At 42.0% G+C, this 15,131-nt stretch overlaps 1 protein-coding gene across 2 annotated transcripts in view, besides 21 other annotated features; it reads right to left on the bottom strand.

Moving 5' to 3' along the window:
- Positions 1 to 12,576, bottom strand: part of FGF2 (fibroblast growth factor 2) — a 71,555-nt gene extending 58,979 nt beyond the window's left edge. The window contains exon 1 of one of the 2 annotated variants that reach the window (NM_002006.6): positions 11,906 to 12,576. In NM_002006.6, coding sequence (NP_001997.5) covers positions 11,906 to 12,482 — 577 coding nt within the window. In that variant the 5' untranslated portion in view covers positions 12,483 to 12,576. The remainder of the gene's footprint in view (positions 1 to 11,905) is intronic. The other variant, NM_001361665.2, reaches the window with a different exon arrangement.
- Positions 10,471 to 10,996: an enhancer, noted in NCBI's record as "OCT4-NANOG-H3K27ac hESC enhancer chr4:123749417-123749942 (GRCh37/hg19 assembly coordinates)". NCBI's record gives its function as "activates a minimal SCP1, AML or CMV promoter by ChIP-STARR-seq in naive H9 embryonic stem cells {active_cell/tissue: H9 hESC(naive)}" and the evidence as "EXISTENCE:reporter gene assay evidence [ECO:0000049][PMID:30033119]".
- Positions 10,895 to 10,944: an enhancer, noted in NCBI's record as "active region_21879". NCBI's record gives its function as "activates an Ori minimal core promoter by ATAC-STARR-seq in GM12878 lymphoblastoid cells {active_cell/tissue: GM12878}" and the evidence as "EXISTENCE:reporter gene assay evidence [ECO:0000049][PMID:35858748]".
- Positions 10,985 to 11,124: an enhancer, noted in NCBI's record as "active region_21878". NCBI's record gives its function as "activates an Ori minimal core promoter by ATAC-STARR-seq in GM12878 lymphoblastoid cells {active_cell/tissue: GM12878}" and the evidence as "EXISTENCE:reporter gene assay evidence [ECO:0000049][PMID:35858748]".
- Positions 10,985 to 11,764: a biological region, named in NCBI's record as "Sharpr-MPRA regulatory region 10032".
- Positions 10,997 to 11,522: an enhancer, noted in NCBI's record as "OCT4-NANOG-H3K27ac-H3K4me1 hESC enhancer chr4:123748891-123749416 (GRCh37/hg19 assembly coordinates)". NCBI's record gives its function as "activates a minimal SCP1, AML or CMV promoter by ChIP-STARR-seq in naive H9 embryonic stem cells {active_cell/tissue: H9 hESC(naive)}" and the evidence as "EXISTENCE:reporter gene assay evidence [ECO:0000049][PMID:30033119]".
- Positions 11,470 to 11,764: a silencer, noted in NCBI's record as "tiled region #10032; K562 Repressive non-DNase unmatched - State 1:Tss". NCBI's record gives its function as "represses a minimal TATA promoter and a strong SV40 promoter by Sharpr-MPRA in K562 cells {active_cell/tissue: K562}" and the evidence as "EXISTENCE:reporter gene assay evidence [ECO:0000049][PMID:27701403]".
- Positions 11,805 to 11,884: an enhancer, noted in NCBI's record as "active region_21877". NCBI's record gives its function as "activates an Ori minimal core promoter by ATAC-STARR-seq in GM12878 lymphoblastoid cells {active_cell/tissue: GM12878}" and the evidence as "EXISTENCE:reporter gene assay evidence [ECO:0000049][PMID:35858748]".
- Positions 12,105 to 12,584: a silencer, noted in NCBI's record as "silent region_15666". NCBI's record gives its function as "represses an Ori minimal core promoter by ATAC-STARR-seq in GM12878 lymphoblastoid cells {active_cell/tissue: GM12878}" and the evidence as "EXISTENCE:reporter gene assay evidence [ECO:0000049][PMID:35858748]".
- Positions 12,105 to 13,568: a biological region, named in NCBI's record as "FGF2 promoter region". NCBI's record gives its function as "regulatory_interactions: FGF2 | LOC116158507".
- Positions 12,250 to 13,217: a promoter, noted in NCBI's record as "-650 to +314 promoter; NsiI/XhoI fragment". NCBI's record gives the evidence for it as "EXISTENCE:reporter gene assay evidence [ECO:0000049][PMID:7929563]".
- Positions 12,386 to 13,568: a promoter, noted in NCBI's record as "-1001 to +179 promoter; HindIII/BamHI fragment". NCBI's record gives the evidence for it as "EXISTENCE:reporter gene assay evidence [ECO:0000049][PMID:1764264]".
- Positions 12,406 to 12,437: a protein binding site, noted in NCBI's record as "+130 to +159 HoxB7 probe". NCBI's record gives the evidence for it as "EXISTENCE:protein binding evidence [ECO:0000024][PMID:8756643]".
- Positions 12,618 to 12,641: a protein binding site, noted in NCBI's record as "A1; -74 to -51; site E". NCBI's record gives the evidence for it as "EXISTENCE:protein binding evidence [ECO:0000024][PMID:8702507, PMID:9178905]".
- Positions 12,618 to 12,641: a protein binding site, noted in NCBI's record as "A1; -74 to -51; site E". NCBI's record gives the evidence for it as "EXISTENCE:protein binding evidence [ECO:0000024][PMID:8702507, PMID:9178905]".
- Positions 12,718 to 12,738: a protein binding site, noted in NCBI's record as "A2; -172 to -151; site C". NCBI's record gives the evidence for it as "EXISTENCE:protein binding evidence [ECO:0000024][PMID:8702507, PMID:9178905]".
- Positions 12,718 to 12,738: a protein binding site, noted in NCBI's record as "A2; -172 to -151; site C". NCBI's record gives the evidence for it as "EXISTENCE:protein binding evidence [ECO:0000024][PMID:8702507, PMID:9178905]".
- Positions 12,794 to 12,830: a protein binding site, noted in NCBI's record as "TRE (TPA responsive element); AP-1 binding site". NCBI's record gives the evidence for it as "EXISTENCE:protein binding evidence [ECO:0000024][PMID:7499402, PMID:7622586]".
- Positions 12,817 to 12,838: a protein binding site, noted in NCBI's record as "proximal Hoxa10 site; -287 to -266". NCBI's record gives the evidence for it as "EXISTENCE:protein binding evidence [ECO:0000024][PMID:22493287]".
- Positions 12,980 to 13,001: a protein binding site, noted in NCBI's record as "distal Hoxa10 site; -448 to -425". NCBI's record gives the evidence for it as "EXISTENCE:protein binding evidence [ECO:0000024][PMID:22493287]".
- Positions 13,084 to 13,122: a transcriptional cis regulatory region, noted in NCBI's record as "GFRE (growth factor response element); -555 to -512". NCBI's record gives its function as "stimulates expression in response to carbachol, growth factors" and the evidence as "EXISTENCE:reporter gene assay evidence [ECO:0000049][PMID:9582440, PMID:9693381]".
- Positions 13,123 to 13,193: a transcriptional cis regulatory region, noted in NCBI's record as "PKC/cAMP stimulation region; -624 to -556; includes DSE (dyad symmetry element) from PMID:16739027". NCBI's record gives its function as "stimulates expression in response to cyclic AMP" and the evidence as "EXISTENCE:reporter gene assay evidence [ECO:0000049][PMID:9693381]".

The raw sequence follows: 15,131 nt of genomic DNA, 5'->3' as shown, positions 1-15,131 counted from the left end.
ATAAGACTATAATGTCATATTTTTACTGTACCTTTTCAATGTTTAGATATGCTTAAATACACAAATACCACTGTGTTACATGATCATGTGTCACTTAACTATGGGGATACATTCTGAGAAATGCATCCTTAGGTAATTTCATCATTGTGTGAACATCATAGAGTGTACTTACACAATCCTAGATGATGGTATAGCTTATTGCTCCCGGGCTGCAAACCTGTACAGCACATTACTGTACTGAATACTGTAGGTAACTGTAACATGGTGCTAAGTATTTGTGTTACCTAAACATAGAAAAGATACAGTTAAAATACAGTATTATAATCCTATGGGACCACCATCATACATGAGGTCTGCAATTAACCGAAACATCATGATGCAGTGCATGGCTGTATGGTATTCATTCTTAATTACATGCTACGCTATTTTTGTATATGCCACTCAAAAATCTTAAGAAGCCCTTAAATACTAAAGAAGAATTGTCTCATACTAAATCATGACAGAAGTCTTTCCTAAACAAAGGAGAGTGGAATAGACGAAGGGGCAGAGGAATAGATGGCACACACTTCAACTTTGCTGGACATGGCAAAGCCTCTGAAAGAGTTTAAATTATTTGCTTAAATCATTATTTCTGTTCAAATTTCTGCTAGTTTGTCCATGCGGAATTCTGGCCATGAACTTGTATTCTAAACACTAAGAAGTCTAGAATGCACAATCACCAGTTGTTATGGACAAAGAGATCATGTTTTGAAAAGCCAATAGGAAAAAAACTATTTTCTTACTTGTCAAATGAAGATAACAACACCTGCTTCATAAGTTTGTATTTAAGATTAAACAGATATTATTTATAAAGCTGGCATAGAGCATGTTCTCAAAAATTTCACTCACTCATTCATTCAATAAGTACTTGGTAAATATCAGGGTCCTAGGAACATAGTGCAGTGGTAAAGGCCAAACACCTGACCCTTCCTCTACCACAGAGCAAAGGGACTCTGCCTAGTCACCATGGCAGTCTCCCTCATTGTCTGGACAGAGCTGGACAGATCCCATGAATACTTCAGGGCTTTCATACCACCCTCCAAAAAATAATCTATGTCTCACTTTTCTCATCCTTTAACAGCTGAGGGTGTCTCTGTAATTCGTTATTTTTCAATCCAACACCTTCTGTCTATGTCTTTATACATTAGTACACTCAATTAAAACAGTTAACAAAATTATCTTCCCAATCTCACTTCAATTATACTCCCATTACTGAGTTCAGAGTAATGTAGATATATATAAATATGTAAGGAGAACTAACACTTAGAAACACATTCAAAATAGAATATTTCTCTTTTCACTTAGCTTTTTTTAAATAAATGCCTTACCCCAAAGAAGATAAGGAAATAATGTTAATAAGTCTTACATTTAAAGGTAAAATATGACTCGGAGAAAAGCTTAGATGAAAAGTTAACAGAAGAGGACCCACAATGCAAAATGCAAGATGATACCATCCCAGAATCAGAATTTCCAAAATCAAAGGGACCTTTTTCTCTTGAGTCCCCATCCAATTCAAGTAGTCATCCAGCCAGTGAGTAAATGACACCTCTCCCCAACACACAAACACACACACCCCATCTCCAAATGAGCCAACACTAGAAATAGCTATAAGACGAAAGGTCAAATGACACTTGGTAGAATAAAAAAAAAATCTAGGCAAGAAAAGTAACATAATTAATAGAAAAAGTAAGAATACATGAAGACATGCAGCAAGTATTGGATTAAAAGATATATAGCAGGCAGTAGAAAGATTATTTGCATTTCTAATTCAAAAGCAAAGTGTTTATCAAGTGATATGTTTCCAAAAGTAATTTTTTAAATGGAAGCATTATTTGACCGTTTTAATCTCTTCCATTTCCTATTGATGTAAGGCCACCTAAAAACTTATGAATTGTTTTCTATTTACAAAATGATTCAGCTTAGAAAGGAGTAGAATGAGACTGGTCATTCAGTAATTTCTCCCACCCACCCTTGCAGACATCACATCACAAAGACTGTGACTCACTTTGTCATACAATTTCTATCCTCTTAAGAGTTTTTCAGATTGTTGTGATGAATACTGGGTCATAAATCTGAATAAATTTTCAGATGAAACTATCCATGCCATTTCATCACAGCCCAAAATATTAACAATGGTACCAGACAGTCCCCAATACTAACTTTTACAATGATTCACTGGTTTTAGACCTGAGTAAGAGAGAGACACACTGACGTAAGGATTGAAGTGTCTGAATCAGGTATGAATTCCCAGGTCTGCGTTCCTTAATTAGAGTACTATAACCAGTTCTAGAACTGAGCATTAATGTTGGCTAGAAATATTAATATGTTACTTAACAGCTGAAAAGTTTCCAAAATAAAAAGTGATCCAACAAATGACTACGCTTTGCCTTTATTGCTTCCCTTGAATAATGTTAAAGGTGTTTGCAGAAAAGAACTACAGTGCTGTTGCATTCAATTTACCATTTTATATGCCTCATACTATAGTATTTATACTTATTTGAAGTTGTTGCCCATTCAACAAATATAGAGTGAACCTTTTCATGGGACTCAGACTGGTCACTCATTCAGCAATGAAGCCAAAAGGACCCTGGGATGAGTAAATTCAGCCTCAGACCCTCAGAATAGGAAAGAGTAAAGAACTACTGGGTAATGTGGTCTGGATTTTTTAAAAATAAAAATTTCTTGCCAGCTAGGAATTTCCAGTAAAACTGGGGGACATAAAATTAAAATACAACAAGCTATTAGAGAGAATTTTTAGATAGCACACAGAAAAGGAAAGATGGATACAGGATGATGTGAAAGAAATAAGGCCCAAAGCATGACTGGAAATGGGATAAGGTACGAGGACAGACAGGACATTTCAGCTTAAGGAAAACTGCCTGGTTAAAGGCTAAGATGACAAGGAAGACAGGAGACGTGAAGGGAAGGTCAGAAAGGAAGTTAAGAGACTTGGCTAATTTATTGAGTACATCTTCAATTTAACAAACATTCTTTGAGTGGCCACTGTGTGTGAGGATAGATGCAGCAAATGGGATCCAGTGCTTGCCTACAAAGAGTTCACAGTCCCAGTGCAGAAGCCAGACACATAAACCACTAACTATTACAGAAAGCATGAAGTTCTGTGTTCAGACTATGTACCAAGTATATGGGAAAACAGTAAAAACCATTAATTCTCCCTGGGAAGGTAGAGGAAAGTTTCACAAAGAAGTCTGTTGGGCTGGATCTTAAAGGATTTTTCCAGAGAAAGGTGAGGATGGGAGGAGTTGTGAGAGAGAAATTGATAAGAAAAAGAAGGATTTTTCAAAAACAAGAGTCACATGAAGAAAGGCCAATCATTGTGACAGTAATCGTTATGACACATTAAAGAGACTATAATTAAAGCACAGAGTGCTACAGCTTCAGGAAGGTATGGATGGTAAACAGTAAGAAATAAGGTAGGTCATGTTTAAGAAGGAAAGCCAGGTAGGTCTGGTTAGTGCTTAAAATTGCAGGAGAGTAGAGGTCATTAAATCAAGAGGCAGGGCAAGGAAATCACTATGGCTGGGAAACATTTTAGAGAGATATATACGAAAGAAGTAGAGAAAGGCATCAAAGACAATTCCATGGTGTCTAGCTTTGGAGACAAGAATAATAATTCACTACAAGCAGAAATTCAGGAGGAAAGGGTGCTAGTTTGAGAAAATGGTGTTAAGTTCTGTTTTATGTATGTTAAGTTGAAGCTATGGCAGTGTGTCTGCCCTCCAAGCAGTGGGAAATTGAGATGGGGAATCAAGACAGAGACAGAGACAATACATGATCTTCTGAAGGAATACAAGTACACAGAAAGAAGAGTAGAAGGCTAAAAACAGAACCTTGGGGGAATACAAATGCAAAAAAAAAACAGAAGAAAGTGGAAAAAAAGACAGTTGGATGGGCAAAAGTATAACCGCCTGAGGAGTTCTTCCAGCCTGCTGCACAAGGAAAGACCACAGCATTGCAGTAAAGAAAGAGTTTAATAAACACAAGGCCGGCAAAGCCACATGGGAGATAGAGTTAGTACTCAAACCAATCTCATCCACAGCTCATGGGATAGGAGTTTTTCAACAGCAGTTTGGGGGAAAGGGTGAGGATTGCTATGCAATGGGTGCTTACTGATAATTCATTGGGCTGAAGATGAAATAATAGGGGGTCAAAGTTGTCCTCTTGAGTGGAACCATTCCTGGGTGGGGCCACAGGAGTGGTTTAGCAGGTCCAGCTGGAGCCATGGGTGTCAGACATGCAAAAAACCTGAAAAGATATCTCAAAAGGCCAATCTACAATAGTGGTGTTATCTGCACCACTATTGGTGCACTAGTGGCAATCTATTAATACGTCTACACCTTAGCACAACTCAGATTCCTGTCCTCCCCTGAAGCCTGAGGGCCTTTCATTAGCTTTATAAAGGCAGTTGAGTTTTGGGGAAGGCTTATTATCCTTTAAACTATCTCCCAAAGTTATCTGGGCCTAAGCCCAGAAATGATTAAGGCAGCTTGAAAGCTAAAGGCAAGAGGAGGGGAGTGGGCTAGGTCATATCTCTGGCAGTGTCATAATTTTCTCAGATATAACTTTTGCAAAGGCAGTTTCAAAAGGAGAACCAGGTTGATGTGATGTAATAGAAGCCAAGGAATTATCAAGAAGTCAGAGGCAGACAATACTGCCACATGTCAGAGTAGCATGAAAAATTGGAAAAGGCCACATGATTAAATTAGAAGACTACTGGTGCTCTCATAAGAATGATTTAAGTGGAATACTGAGGGCAGAATCTAGAATTTAAAAGAGTTCAAAAAAAGAAAAGGAGATGATGTAGAAGAACGTACTGATTCCAGGATATTATTCACAAAAGAAAATAAGAATGAAAAACAATGCACAGCATACCTGAGAAAGTTTTATATTGCATAGTGAGACAGGACAGCCAAGTATAAAGGGGTCCCTGGAGAACCTCCAAATGGCCTGCACACTGGGAGAATGGGGTGGAGCCACAGAAGTTCACGCCCTTTGCAGGGAGGAGACTGGTCTCTCCTGTTCGGGGTGGTAACTTGGGAATCAATCTGTGAGATGGGGGCCTGTTAATATGAACCCCTATTGCTTTGCTGTGTTGTTTTTCCTTTTTTCTTTCTGACCAATAAATTCCATAACCCCTCACCCTCCAAAGTGTCTGTGAGCCTAATCTTTCCTGGGCGTGTGACAAGAACCAGGATTTTCCTACAACAATAGTACATGATAAAAATCTTAAATACTTTTAAGGAAATCAGAATTCCCAATAAAAGTTCTAAACAATTTTTCCTGAAAAATGATTCATCTTTCTCTAGATTATTCTAAGAAAAACTAATAGCCAGTCTCCAAAATTCCGAAATGTTTCCCAAATATAACTTTGCTATATATAATTATCTTCATTTAAAGATTGACCAAGTATCTAAACACAGATGTCAAGACACCAAGAAAACTGTAAACTTTGACCAAGCTTTATACAGCATATGCCTCATGAGTAGTTATTTCACAGCAAGTTCCACAGAGAATGTTTTCCTCATCAGCTGACATTTAGTGAGCACTCTCTGAGTAAAAAGTACTGAGCTTTTTATGATGTTTATTTATATAAAGAAGTCATGGTTCCTACCTTAAGGTGCCAGCATCTTAAGGTGCCTAAATTATGAACAGAGAATAATCTGTTCACAGAATGCAGCCAGATCATTACTACTCTGTACAAATTTCTTTTAAAAAATACTTTTTTCTTGGCTAATTTGAGTTATCATTTAATTACAAGTTTTCATTATAAATTAATGTATAGCTTAATTATAAATTAAACCAGGATCATTCCTTTCAATTGTTCAATTATATCTGGAACATACACTTAATATTCACATAGCTTCTCTTCAATTTTTAAATCTCCAAAATACCTTGAAAATCTGTGAACTTTTCATTTCAGAATTCTATTGGATAATTCATCTTAGAGGTTAAATTGCAGAAGTCAATAGCTCTATAAAAATACAAATACACACATACACACACACACACACACACACATCCATTATACATTTCTGTAAATGAGTAAGTATCAAAGATACACCGGTCAAGTCAAAAGTCACCTTGTGCAGGAAGAGTGACAGAAGACAGCTGGATGAGACATAAACACTGAATATTGGCTGTCTGTTGCCTCCAGGCCCTTCCAATTTCTTCAAACTAAAAATATTCTGAAGGTGTTTAGAATGAGACTGGTCTGGCTTCTAAGAACCACAGTCTATGGCTCAAAGGGTGAGTTCCCCTGGAAGTTGCCACTTTTCTTTTCCTCCTCTCCTAAATTCCTGTGGCTATACATAACCTAGCTTAAAAGGCCTTGTTGGCGGTCATTATTAAAGGGAGAAAAGAGAAAGCAGGAGCTAACTGAACAGTGGATACAACAAGGAAACACTTAAAATCACAGTGCCATAAGTGCATTTTCTAATGATCCAGCTAAAACTCTACACTGATAATCATTATTCCAAATTATTATGCAAACAATCAAGCATTAACTATTTATTGAGCACTGACAATATACAAATTAAGTACTAGACCAGATCCTAATTTCAGAGCACAGAAAAGGACAAACTCAAAAATAAAACAGAACAAAATACATTTGTTTGGACAGAATATCCTGATGAGGTTAAGATTTGTGCCCCAGGCTGGGCACGGTGGCTCACGCCTGTAATCACAGCACTTTGGGAGGCTGAGGTGGACAGATAACCTGAGGTCTGGAGTTCGAGACCAGCCAGGAAAATTCATGGTGAAATCCCGTCTCTACTAAAAATGCAAAAATTAGCTGGGTGCGGTGGCAGGTGCTTGTAATCACAGCTGAAGCAGAAGAATTGCTTGAACCCAGGAAGGAGAGGTTGTAGTGAGCTGAGATTGTGCCACTGCACTCCAGCCTAGGTGACAGGGTAAGACTGTGTCTCAAAAAGAAAAAAAGAAAAAGATATGTGCCCCAAAGATACAGATTTGCCTTGCTCCGTTTCATGGTCATAGACTTTTATCCCATGCCAGCCTTCTTACAGACGTGTGCTACGGGACATAGGGGCCCAAGTAGGGTATCTGGAAAATCAACAAACACTAGAATTGGAAAAACAAGCAAAGACTACAGCACATGTGTAATTACCAGCTTGTACAGGCATCTCGTGGTTTTAAAATAGTAGTTCCAATAATGTGAGACCTTAAATTGTCTTTTCAACATCACTGATGATGAGTTCTCAGAATCAGTGTATAGATGAAGAAAGTCAATTTTATGCTTATGATATTTAAAGAACCGTTCTTGTTTTGTTCATTACATCTGTAACATTTTATTTTCTAATTAAACTTTAAAATTATGTCCTTCCACATAAAATGGCATCATAAATCAAAATGAGAATACTTAAAACCCAATTGTTACACCATTGTCAAAGTCTAATTACATAACGGTCATTTTATAAACAAATGAAACCCCTCAGGGCATGTCATGAGGGGATATTGCCTTTTCTAGGCTGAAGTCACTTGGCATCAAACTCATCTTAAAAGGCTCCTAAGGTGTGGTAATATCTATGACTCATGAATTGTCCTTTCATTGCTGTACTGATTACATGATTTCCAAGATTAAATGAGCTATTAGATTCTGACTTCATTTGTTTACTGCACCCAATATTTATTACAGTAAATATCACGTTCATTAAGTAAAATTATTGCTATCCACTTGCCAGATATTACCAAAGAGAGGTGGGGGGAGAGAATCTAGTACGTGTATTATTAAATCAATGGTTCTATTTACCCCAAAGGCAGTAGTGAAGAGATGGAAAGGTGGCTTTATCCAAAACCCCAGGAAATCAACCTGAGGCACCCGTAAACTAGTAAGAACTCTTCAAAGGGGCTAGCAGCTCACTACCCTGAAATGGAGGAAGCCTAACCAAAGTGGGGTCCAGCAGGGCACACTCTATGGTGGAATGAAGAGCGCACTGAGGCTGAGGGATGGCAGGAAGAGAAGGCAAGGGACCAGGTGGTAAGAAGCTCATTCAGGATAAAAAAAGAGGAAACCCACAAGTGAACTTGAGTAATTGGTGACTTTTCTGAGCTTCAGTATCCTCTTCTGTAAAAAGAGATGGGTAAACCAGAAGGTCTGAAGCCTCCCTTTGATTTCACAAGTCCATGTTTTTATGCTTGGGGTTGCATGGAACACATGCAGTAGCAAAGAGCCCAGGGGTCAGGCCCACCTACAAGCCACCCCTGCTCCACACTGGGGTGGGCAGGTCTGCCTTTCCAAGTCTCAGCGTCCTCTGGAGCCTGCAAGCAAAGAAGTGTGGCACACAGGCAGTCACCTCCTGGGAGAAGCCCAAGGGTAGATACAGTACTTCTAACTACTCTCATTTTTTTTTTTTTTTTTTTTTTTTGTAAATAAGAGCACCTGGAATAAATTGAATACTAAGTGTACATAAGCAGCATACATTTCACTTACTATACTCTACCACATGTTGTACGTGCTGCTTGGGATAAAGTGTTCTCTCTTCTGAATGTTTTTACACAGCTTGCTACTTTAGAGTACATACTTAATATTATCCATTCCCACCGCATTGAAAGAGGCCTGCCAAAAGTTAAGGATGCCAAAAGAAAGGCAGGAGTGCAGCGCACATGCTGGAGAAGGAGAAACTCTCTAACCACTTTTAACATCTTGTTTTTATCAAGACTCTCATGTCAAATGAAGATTATTCCAGGACTATGAGAAAAACGCCAGAAAATGGGCCCTTTTGAGTGCAAATTCAGGAGAATGCCCAGGTGTGAAGCACAGTTGACCTTCAGCAACACTGAAAAATTGGAAACATTTGTGTTGTGTCATCTTCTCCTACCTCTTCTTTTAGAAAATTTTCCTCTCTTTCCTACCTCACAGCTTCCCACTCTGCCTCCTCTTCCCCTGCACCTCTCCAGGACCCCATCATTTATATCACAGTCTTCAAAGCATCCCTCCCCAAACTCCAGTCCTTCTGGCCAGCTTTTGGGGAAGAAATTGCACTCACAATTTAATCCATACTAAATGTTAAAATCTGATAATGGTTGAACTTGGCCTTTCAAAAGTTACCTGCAGTTTAGAAAACATGTAGGCACAAAGTGTCATGCCAAAGGAAAAAAAATTCCAGTGACAGATGTTCAGGTCAGTTGGACAAAACAGTCTGAGGAATGAGACCATAGATTTTTCAACTTTTCAAACAGGTCTAGAAATCTGAGCCATAATGTAGTAGGAAACTGTGGCTACTATTAACTCTTCTCCATGTTTTCTGGTCAGTTTTATTTGTTTTGGGGGGTCTCCTCATGGTTTGGTCAACTATCAGTAAACATCCAATATGTGAGAAAATAATATACTGTACTTAAATTTATGTCCAGGTTGGGCTACATAGAAATAGATGAAATTTGTCATTTTTAGATTTGTATTCTTGTCAGTCTATTGCCTGGTACAGGTATCCTTTAAAAAAAGAGTAGTCTCTTTGGGGACTTGGGAAGAAAGGGTGGGAAGTTGGGGAGGGACAGGACTACAAACTGGATTCAGTGTATACTGCTTGGGTGATGGGTGCAACAAAATTTCACAAATCACCACTAAAGAACTTACTCATGTAACCAACTACCACCTGGTCCCTAAAACCCTATAGAAATAAAAAATTTTAAAAAAATTGGTAGTCTCCACAAGTCTGGATGAGTTATTCTACATTTCCCTTTTAATGTCTTGTCCTTAGCTAGTTATAAAGTTAGCAGAGTTCTCAACCTGAGTACTAGTGACATTTGGGGTCAAAAATGTTTTTGTTGAGGGTATTATAATGTGTATTGTAGGATGTTCAGCAGCATCCCCGGCCTCTACCTGCCAGATGCCAGTAGCACCCTTCCAGGTTACAGCAACCAAAAATGTCTCCAGGCATTGTCAAATGTCCCCTGGGAGGCAAAATCGTCCCCATTTGAGAACCACAGAGTTAAAGTAAGATTACAAAAATGAAAACCCAACTCACAGTTAGGAAGAAAAAGTTAACGGTTGTTTTTACAACGGTGGTAATGTGGTATGCAATTCAAAATTATGTCCACTGGCTAACCTCTACATAGTTTTATTCTAAGGCGAATCGGGTATCAAAATCTTCAAAGAAAAAATGATTCAGCAACTAATAGAGTCTGAAAAAAAAAGAGTATTAGGGGAAGCCCCAAATATTAATTTAATTTAAAGGGAAATTCTTCTGTCTTCTGGTCATAATACATGCTTTTTAATAAATAATTTGTGATACTAGAAAGAACAAAACCAATTGGGACACACAGCACCTTGCCCTTGTCAGCTGAGATGGCGTAGCAGACAACTGCAGAACAAACTTCAATCACAAAGATAATTTTTTGAAATAGATGAGTTCAAGTTACCAGAATAGAGAACTAGCACTAACCCATCTAATAGGTTACAAGCATCTTTTCAGTTTTACGGGATTAAGTGATTGATAAAATTTTTAAATTATGGCAAGCCTGAAAAAAATTAAATACTTGCCTCTCTTGCAGGTTGCTATTTTGGAAGCAATAAAGACTCAGCTCATATGAAAGTGTATTGCCCATTCTTCTGCCAATTCACGTTTGGTTGTAGAATTTTCTTCTCTTCCAGCCCCCCTCCACCTCCCCTCATGACATCCCATTAGCATCCCAAGACAAAGGCAGAACTACAGGGGAGTGGCGCTGGGACCCCTGTGGGTCTTTTCTCAGGCAATGAGAGAATCAGATTCTCCACCTGGAACCCATAAAGGAAGGAACGCCATAACACACAGCTTTTAAAACACATGTTTACATACACTTACAGGAGGACAGGTTACAATATATTCTAGTCCTCTTTCTCTCACTTCAAATTCCATCAGTGTTGTAAATCGGCTCATCTTATGCCCCTTTCTTTCTCTTTCCTCTAGACCAGTGGCTCTCAAAGTGTGATGTGATCAGCATCCCCGGGGAACATGTTAGAAATGCAAATCTTCAGCCCCCACTCCAGACTTAGGGAATCCCCTAAAGTCCAAGCACTCCTTATTTAGGCCAGTGTTCTTTCTAGAACCACAAACATTGTTTCTTACAGAAAGCAAAACTGCAATTCTCATTTCATCCTCAAGCCTGCTGCAAGGTAGTAATATATTAGCCCCACGTGAGCGATGAGGAAACCGGCTCTGGGGTTAAGCGTCGGCTCAAGGTCTCAAAGCTAGTCACTGCAGGTGGAAGATTAAAGTGTTTGCACTTCTTTTCACTACTGAAACAAAGCTATGGCACTTTATTAACAACATCTGGATTTTTTGCTGGTTGGCTGGTTGGTTTTTGTTTTTGCTCTTTCAGCTTTCGTCAATTCGGAAAAATATAAAACAGAGTGGGTGAGAGTAGTGTGCCATATGCCTCGGGTCGTCCCGAGTCGGAATTTAAGGGCAGGACTCTAGAAAGGTGTTTTTCCAGTAAAGACCGTTTCGTTCTGCTGCGGTCCTTCCTGTCTTTGTCCCCGGGACAGCACGCAGCAGATAGAAGCGGCCAGAGCTGCATGGCGGGGCCGCGGGCATCCCCGACGCGACAGGTTGTCCGCGGGAAGACAGCCAGTCCGCGAGGCCCCGGCGCGCCGCGGCTCCGGGCCGGGGGTACTGGTTTACAGGGCAAATTGGCACACCCCAAAGCCCAGGGGACACCCGGGCCTACGCCGCAGCCCGGAAAGGAGGGGGTGAGTGGTGAACCCGAAACCGCCGAGGGCCGCGCGGCCAGAAACCACACGGAGCGCTAGGGTCGCAGTGAAGATCCGGGAGGAGGGTGCAGGCTGGAGGGGAGAGAGCGGGCGAGAACCCACGAAATGGAAATGAGGCGGAGAGAGCGGGTCGGCACTCACTGTGAGGGTCGCTCTTCTCCCGGACCCCGTCAACTCGGCCGTCGGGGTGGATGCGCAGGAAGAAGCCCCCGTTTTTGCAGTACAGCCGCTTGGGGTCCTTGAAGTGGCCGGGCGGGAAGGCGCCGCTGCCGCCATCCTCGGGCAAGGCGGGCAGCGTGGTGATGCTCCCGGCTGCCATGGTCCCTGCGGGGCCCGGCCGGGATCCCCGAGCCGCTGGAGCCGCGCGGGGAGCCGCCGTCCCCCGGCCCCGGCCCCGGCCTCCGACCCGCTCCGGGGCACGGCCCCGGCCCCGGCCCCCCAGCCTCCCGCCCGGCAGCGCGCGGCCGCGCCCGCGGTCCCCCAGCCTCGAGCCGCTCGGCCGCTCTTCTGTCCGCCGGCCCCTGGTGCGCGGCGAGCCGGCGGCCCGGGACCTGGGGTTCACGGATGGGTGTCTCCGCGGACGCCGCCTGGGGAGAGCCGCCTCCCAAGCTGCAGCGCCCGGGATCCCGTTGCAACCGCGGGCACCGCGTCCGCTAATCTGGCACCCGCCGGGCCGCGGCGTCACATCTTCTACATCTCCACCCCCCACACCCACCAGCCTCCCGCGCCCCCAGTTCTCCTCCCTCCTGCGCGCCGCCCCCTACTCGCTCGGGTTTTCTGGGGCCGGCCTCTGAGTTCGGCGGTTCGGCCACAACACGCAAGCGCGCGACATCAGTCCGGCGGGGAGCCCGGCCTCAGTCGGGGGCGGGGGAGAGGCGAGGGGCGGGGGGCGCGCGTCGGAGGCCGCGGCAGGGCTTTGGCATTCCCTGGGCTCCACCGCCCCTTATCCCCCAAAAGTCACCCCCGCCCAACCCCCGCACCACCCAAACCACGTTTAGGCTTTCTCCACACTGCGGGGCTTTTGCTGCGCAACCAGCCGTGACTCAACTTTTAAAAGTTTAAACTCAACTTTCTCCCCCATTTTTTCCCCGCTAGCGTTTCAAAACGGAGAAGCCGTTTCCACCCCAAAGTAGAGAAGTTGCAATCCAAGGAAGAGTCTGTGTCAGAGCAGGCTTTGAAAATCTCTAAATCACCAAAAGACGAGGGGTACAAGTGGGGCATAAACTTTAAAATTAAAGGACAGAGGCTGAAGTCGTCTACCAACAAAAGGAGAGAAAGAGGCCAGAGAAGGGGAGCAGATTGGGTTGCTAAAACGAAAAGGTTTCCTTTACTGACCTATCTTGAATTAGACGACGCAGAAAGATGAGGATGGGGATAAGGATAAATCCTTATCGCGATCGAAGCGCATTAATGTCTTAACTCGGACCTGGCATTTGCCCTAGCTAAATTGTTATGCATTTCTTGGAGAGAGAGTTATTTTCTGTAAATCCCAAATGTAAAATTGAAGTTAATTGCATTTTGGTAATTTTCAGTAGGATATAGCAGGTGCCACAGATGACTAGGAAAATATCTATTCAGAAAACTTGCATGTATTGAGTACCTACTGTGTGCAACACATAATGTTGAGTGTGTGGGAGATGCCAAATCTGATGCCAGCGTCTCACACACTGAGGGAGATAAGATGGGTAGCATGAGTAACACAAATAGCAGTAGAAAGTAGGCCATAGAAGAGTAAGACTAAGTGCTGTGACATTTCAGACATCGGATAACTCAGCGTGGGGAGGCAGGAGATTTGGGGAAGCTTCTAGAAGGAGTTGCAAGTATGGACGTGCCTCCTTGTAGAAACATTAGGTTTCAAAAGGCCATGCATAAGTGCATTTGTTCTTAAGTCTCCAAGAAGGCTTTAACTCCAGATGCATTTCTAGAATGTTACATACAGGAGAATGAGTAAATTCTTTGAAGCTTTAAAACCAGGCATACTGTTTTTATTTTTATTATTTATTTATTTTTTTTAGACAGAGTTTTGCTCTTGTTGCCCAGGCTGGAGATCAATGGCACGATCTCGGCTCACCGCAACCTCCACCTCCTGGGTTCAAGCGATTCTCCTACTTCAGCCTACCGAATAGCTGGGATTACAGGCATGCGCCACCACCACGCAGGGCTAATTTTTTGTATTTTTAGTAGAGACGGGGTTTCTCCATGTTGGTCAGGCTGGTCTCGAACTCCCAACCTCAGGTGATCTGCCCGCCTCAGCCTCCCATAGTACTGGGATTACAGGCGTGAGCCACCGCGCCAGGCCCAAAACCAGGCATATTCTTCTTTCTTCTTGCAGTTGGTATATGTTCTATAGAGGAGGAAAAAAAAAATTTCCCCATTCATTACTAGGTTTATGGCTGAAGCCCCTGTAACAAAAGACACATTAACAAGAGAAAAACATACTAACTTATTTATGTGAGTTTTACACAAAACAGGAGACTTCAGAAATTAAGACCCAAAGTTAAGAGGGAAGCCTGTGTATTTTTAAGGCTAGGATTGATAAAGAAGTGGAAGTCATGGAGAAGTATGATTGGACAAATCTGTGATCTAATGGTAATAAACTGGGGGGACTTACTTAGCAAGGCCTATTTGCTCAGATTCTTTTCCCTGTCCGTGTGTCTTCAGAGATAAGGATGTCTGTTTCCTCCAGGTATAGGGAAGGCACCTCTGGAATGAAGGTCTTATGGTCTGCCTCAGAAGAGAAGATCTGGGGAAAGTGAAAGTAACCCTCTTGCTTCTGCTCTTTTCTTAAGTGCCAAGGTACCATTATTTTTGGGTAGCATGTCCTGAACGCCATCAGTTCTCTAACATCTCTCTCCAAAATGGATTTGTTTCATCTTCATTGAAGATCCGTCTGTTGAGACAAAATCACTCCCTCCAGATGATCTCTGTAGGTGCTACTGTGGTGCTGAGTAGTCCCTAGAATGATTGAACTCTCACTTGAACTCTGTGTCACAGAAACCTGAGGATTCCAGGAGCACGGGGATAAAATCTAAGTCATGATATTTTTTAACAATGGCATCCAGAAACCTGGGGAGCAGCTACACGCAGTAAAATAACTTGTATTCCCTACAATTCAAACAAATAATCTAATTTTCAAATGGGAAAAGATTTGAACAGACACTTCTCCAAAGAAAATATACAAATAGCCAATAAACACATGACAAGGGGCTCAACATCATTAGACATTAGAGAAATACAAATCAAAACAACAATGAGATACTACTTTACACCCACTAGGATAGCTATAATTAAGAAATAACAACAACAAAAAATAATAAGTGTTGAAGATGTGGTAAAAGTGGAACCCTCAAACATTGCTGGTGGAAAG

Source organism: Homo sapiens, chromosome 4 (assembly GCF_000001405.40).
Source record: "Homo sapiens chromosome 4, GRCh38.p14 Primary Assembly".
Lineage (NCBI taxonomy): Eukaryota > Metazoa > Chordata > Mammalia > Primates > Hominidae > Homo > Homo sapiens.
The sequence above is the reverse complement of the archived record's forward strand: the minus strand, read 5'-3'. Positions and strand labels throughout refer to the sequence as shown.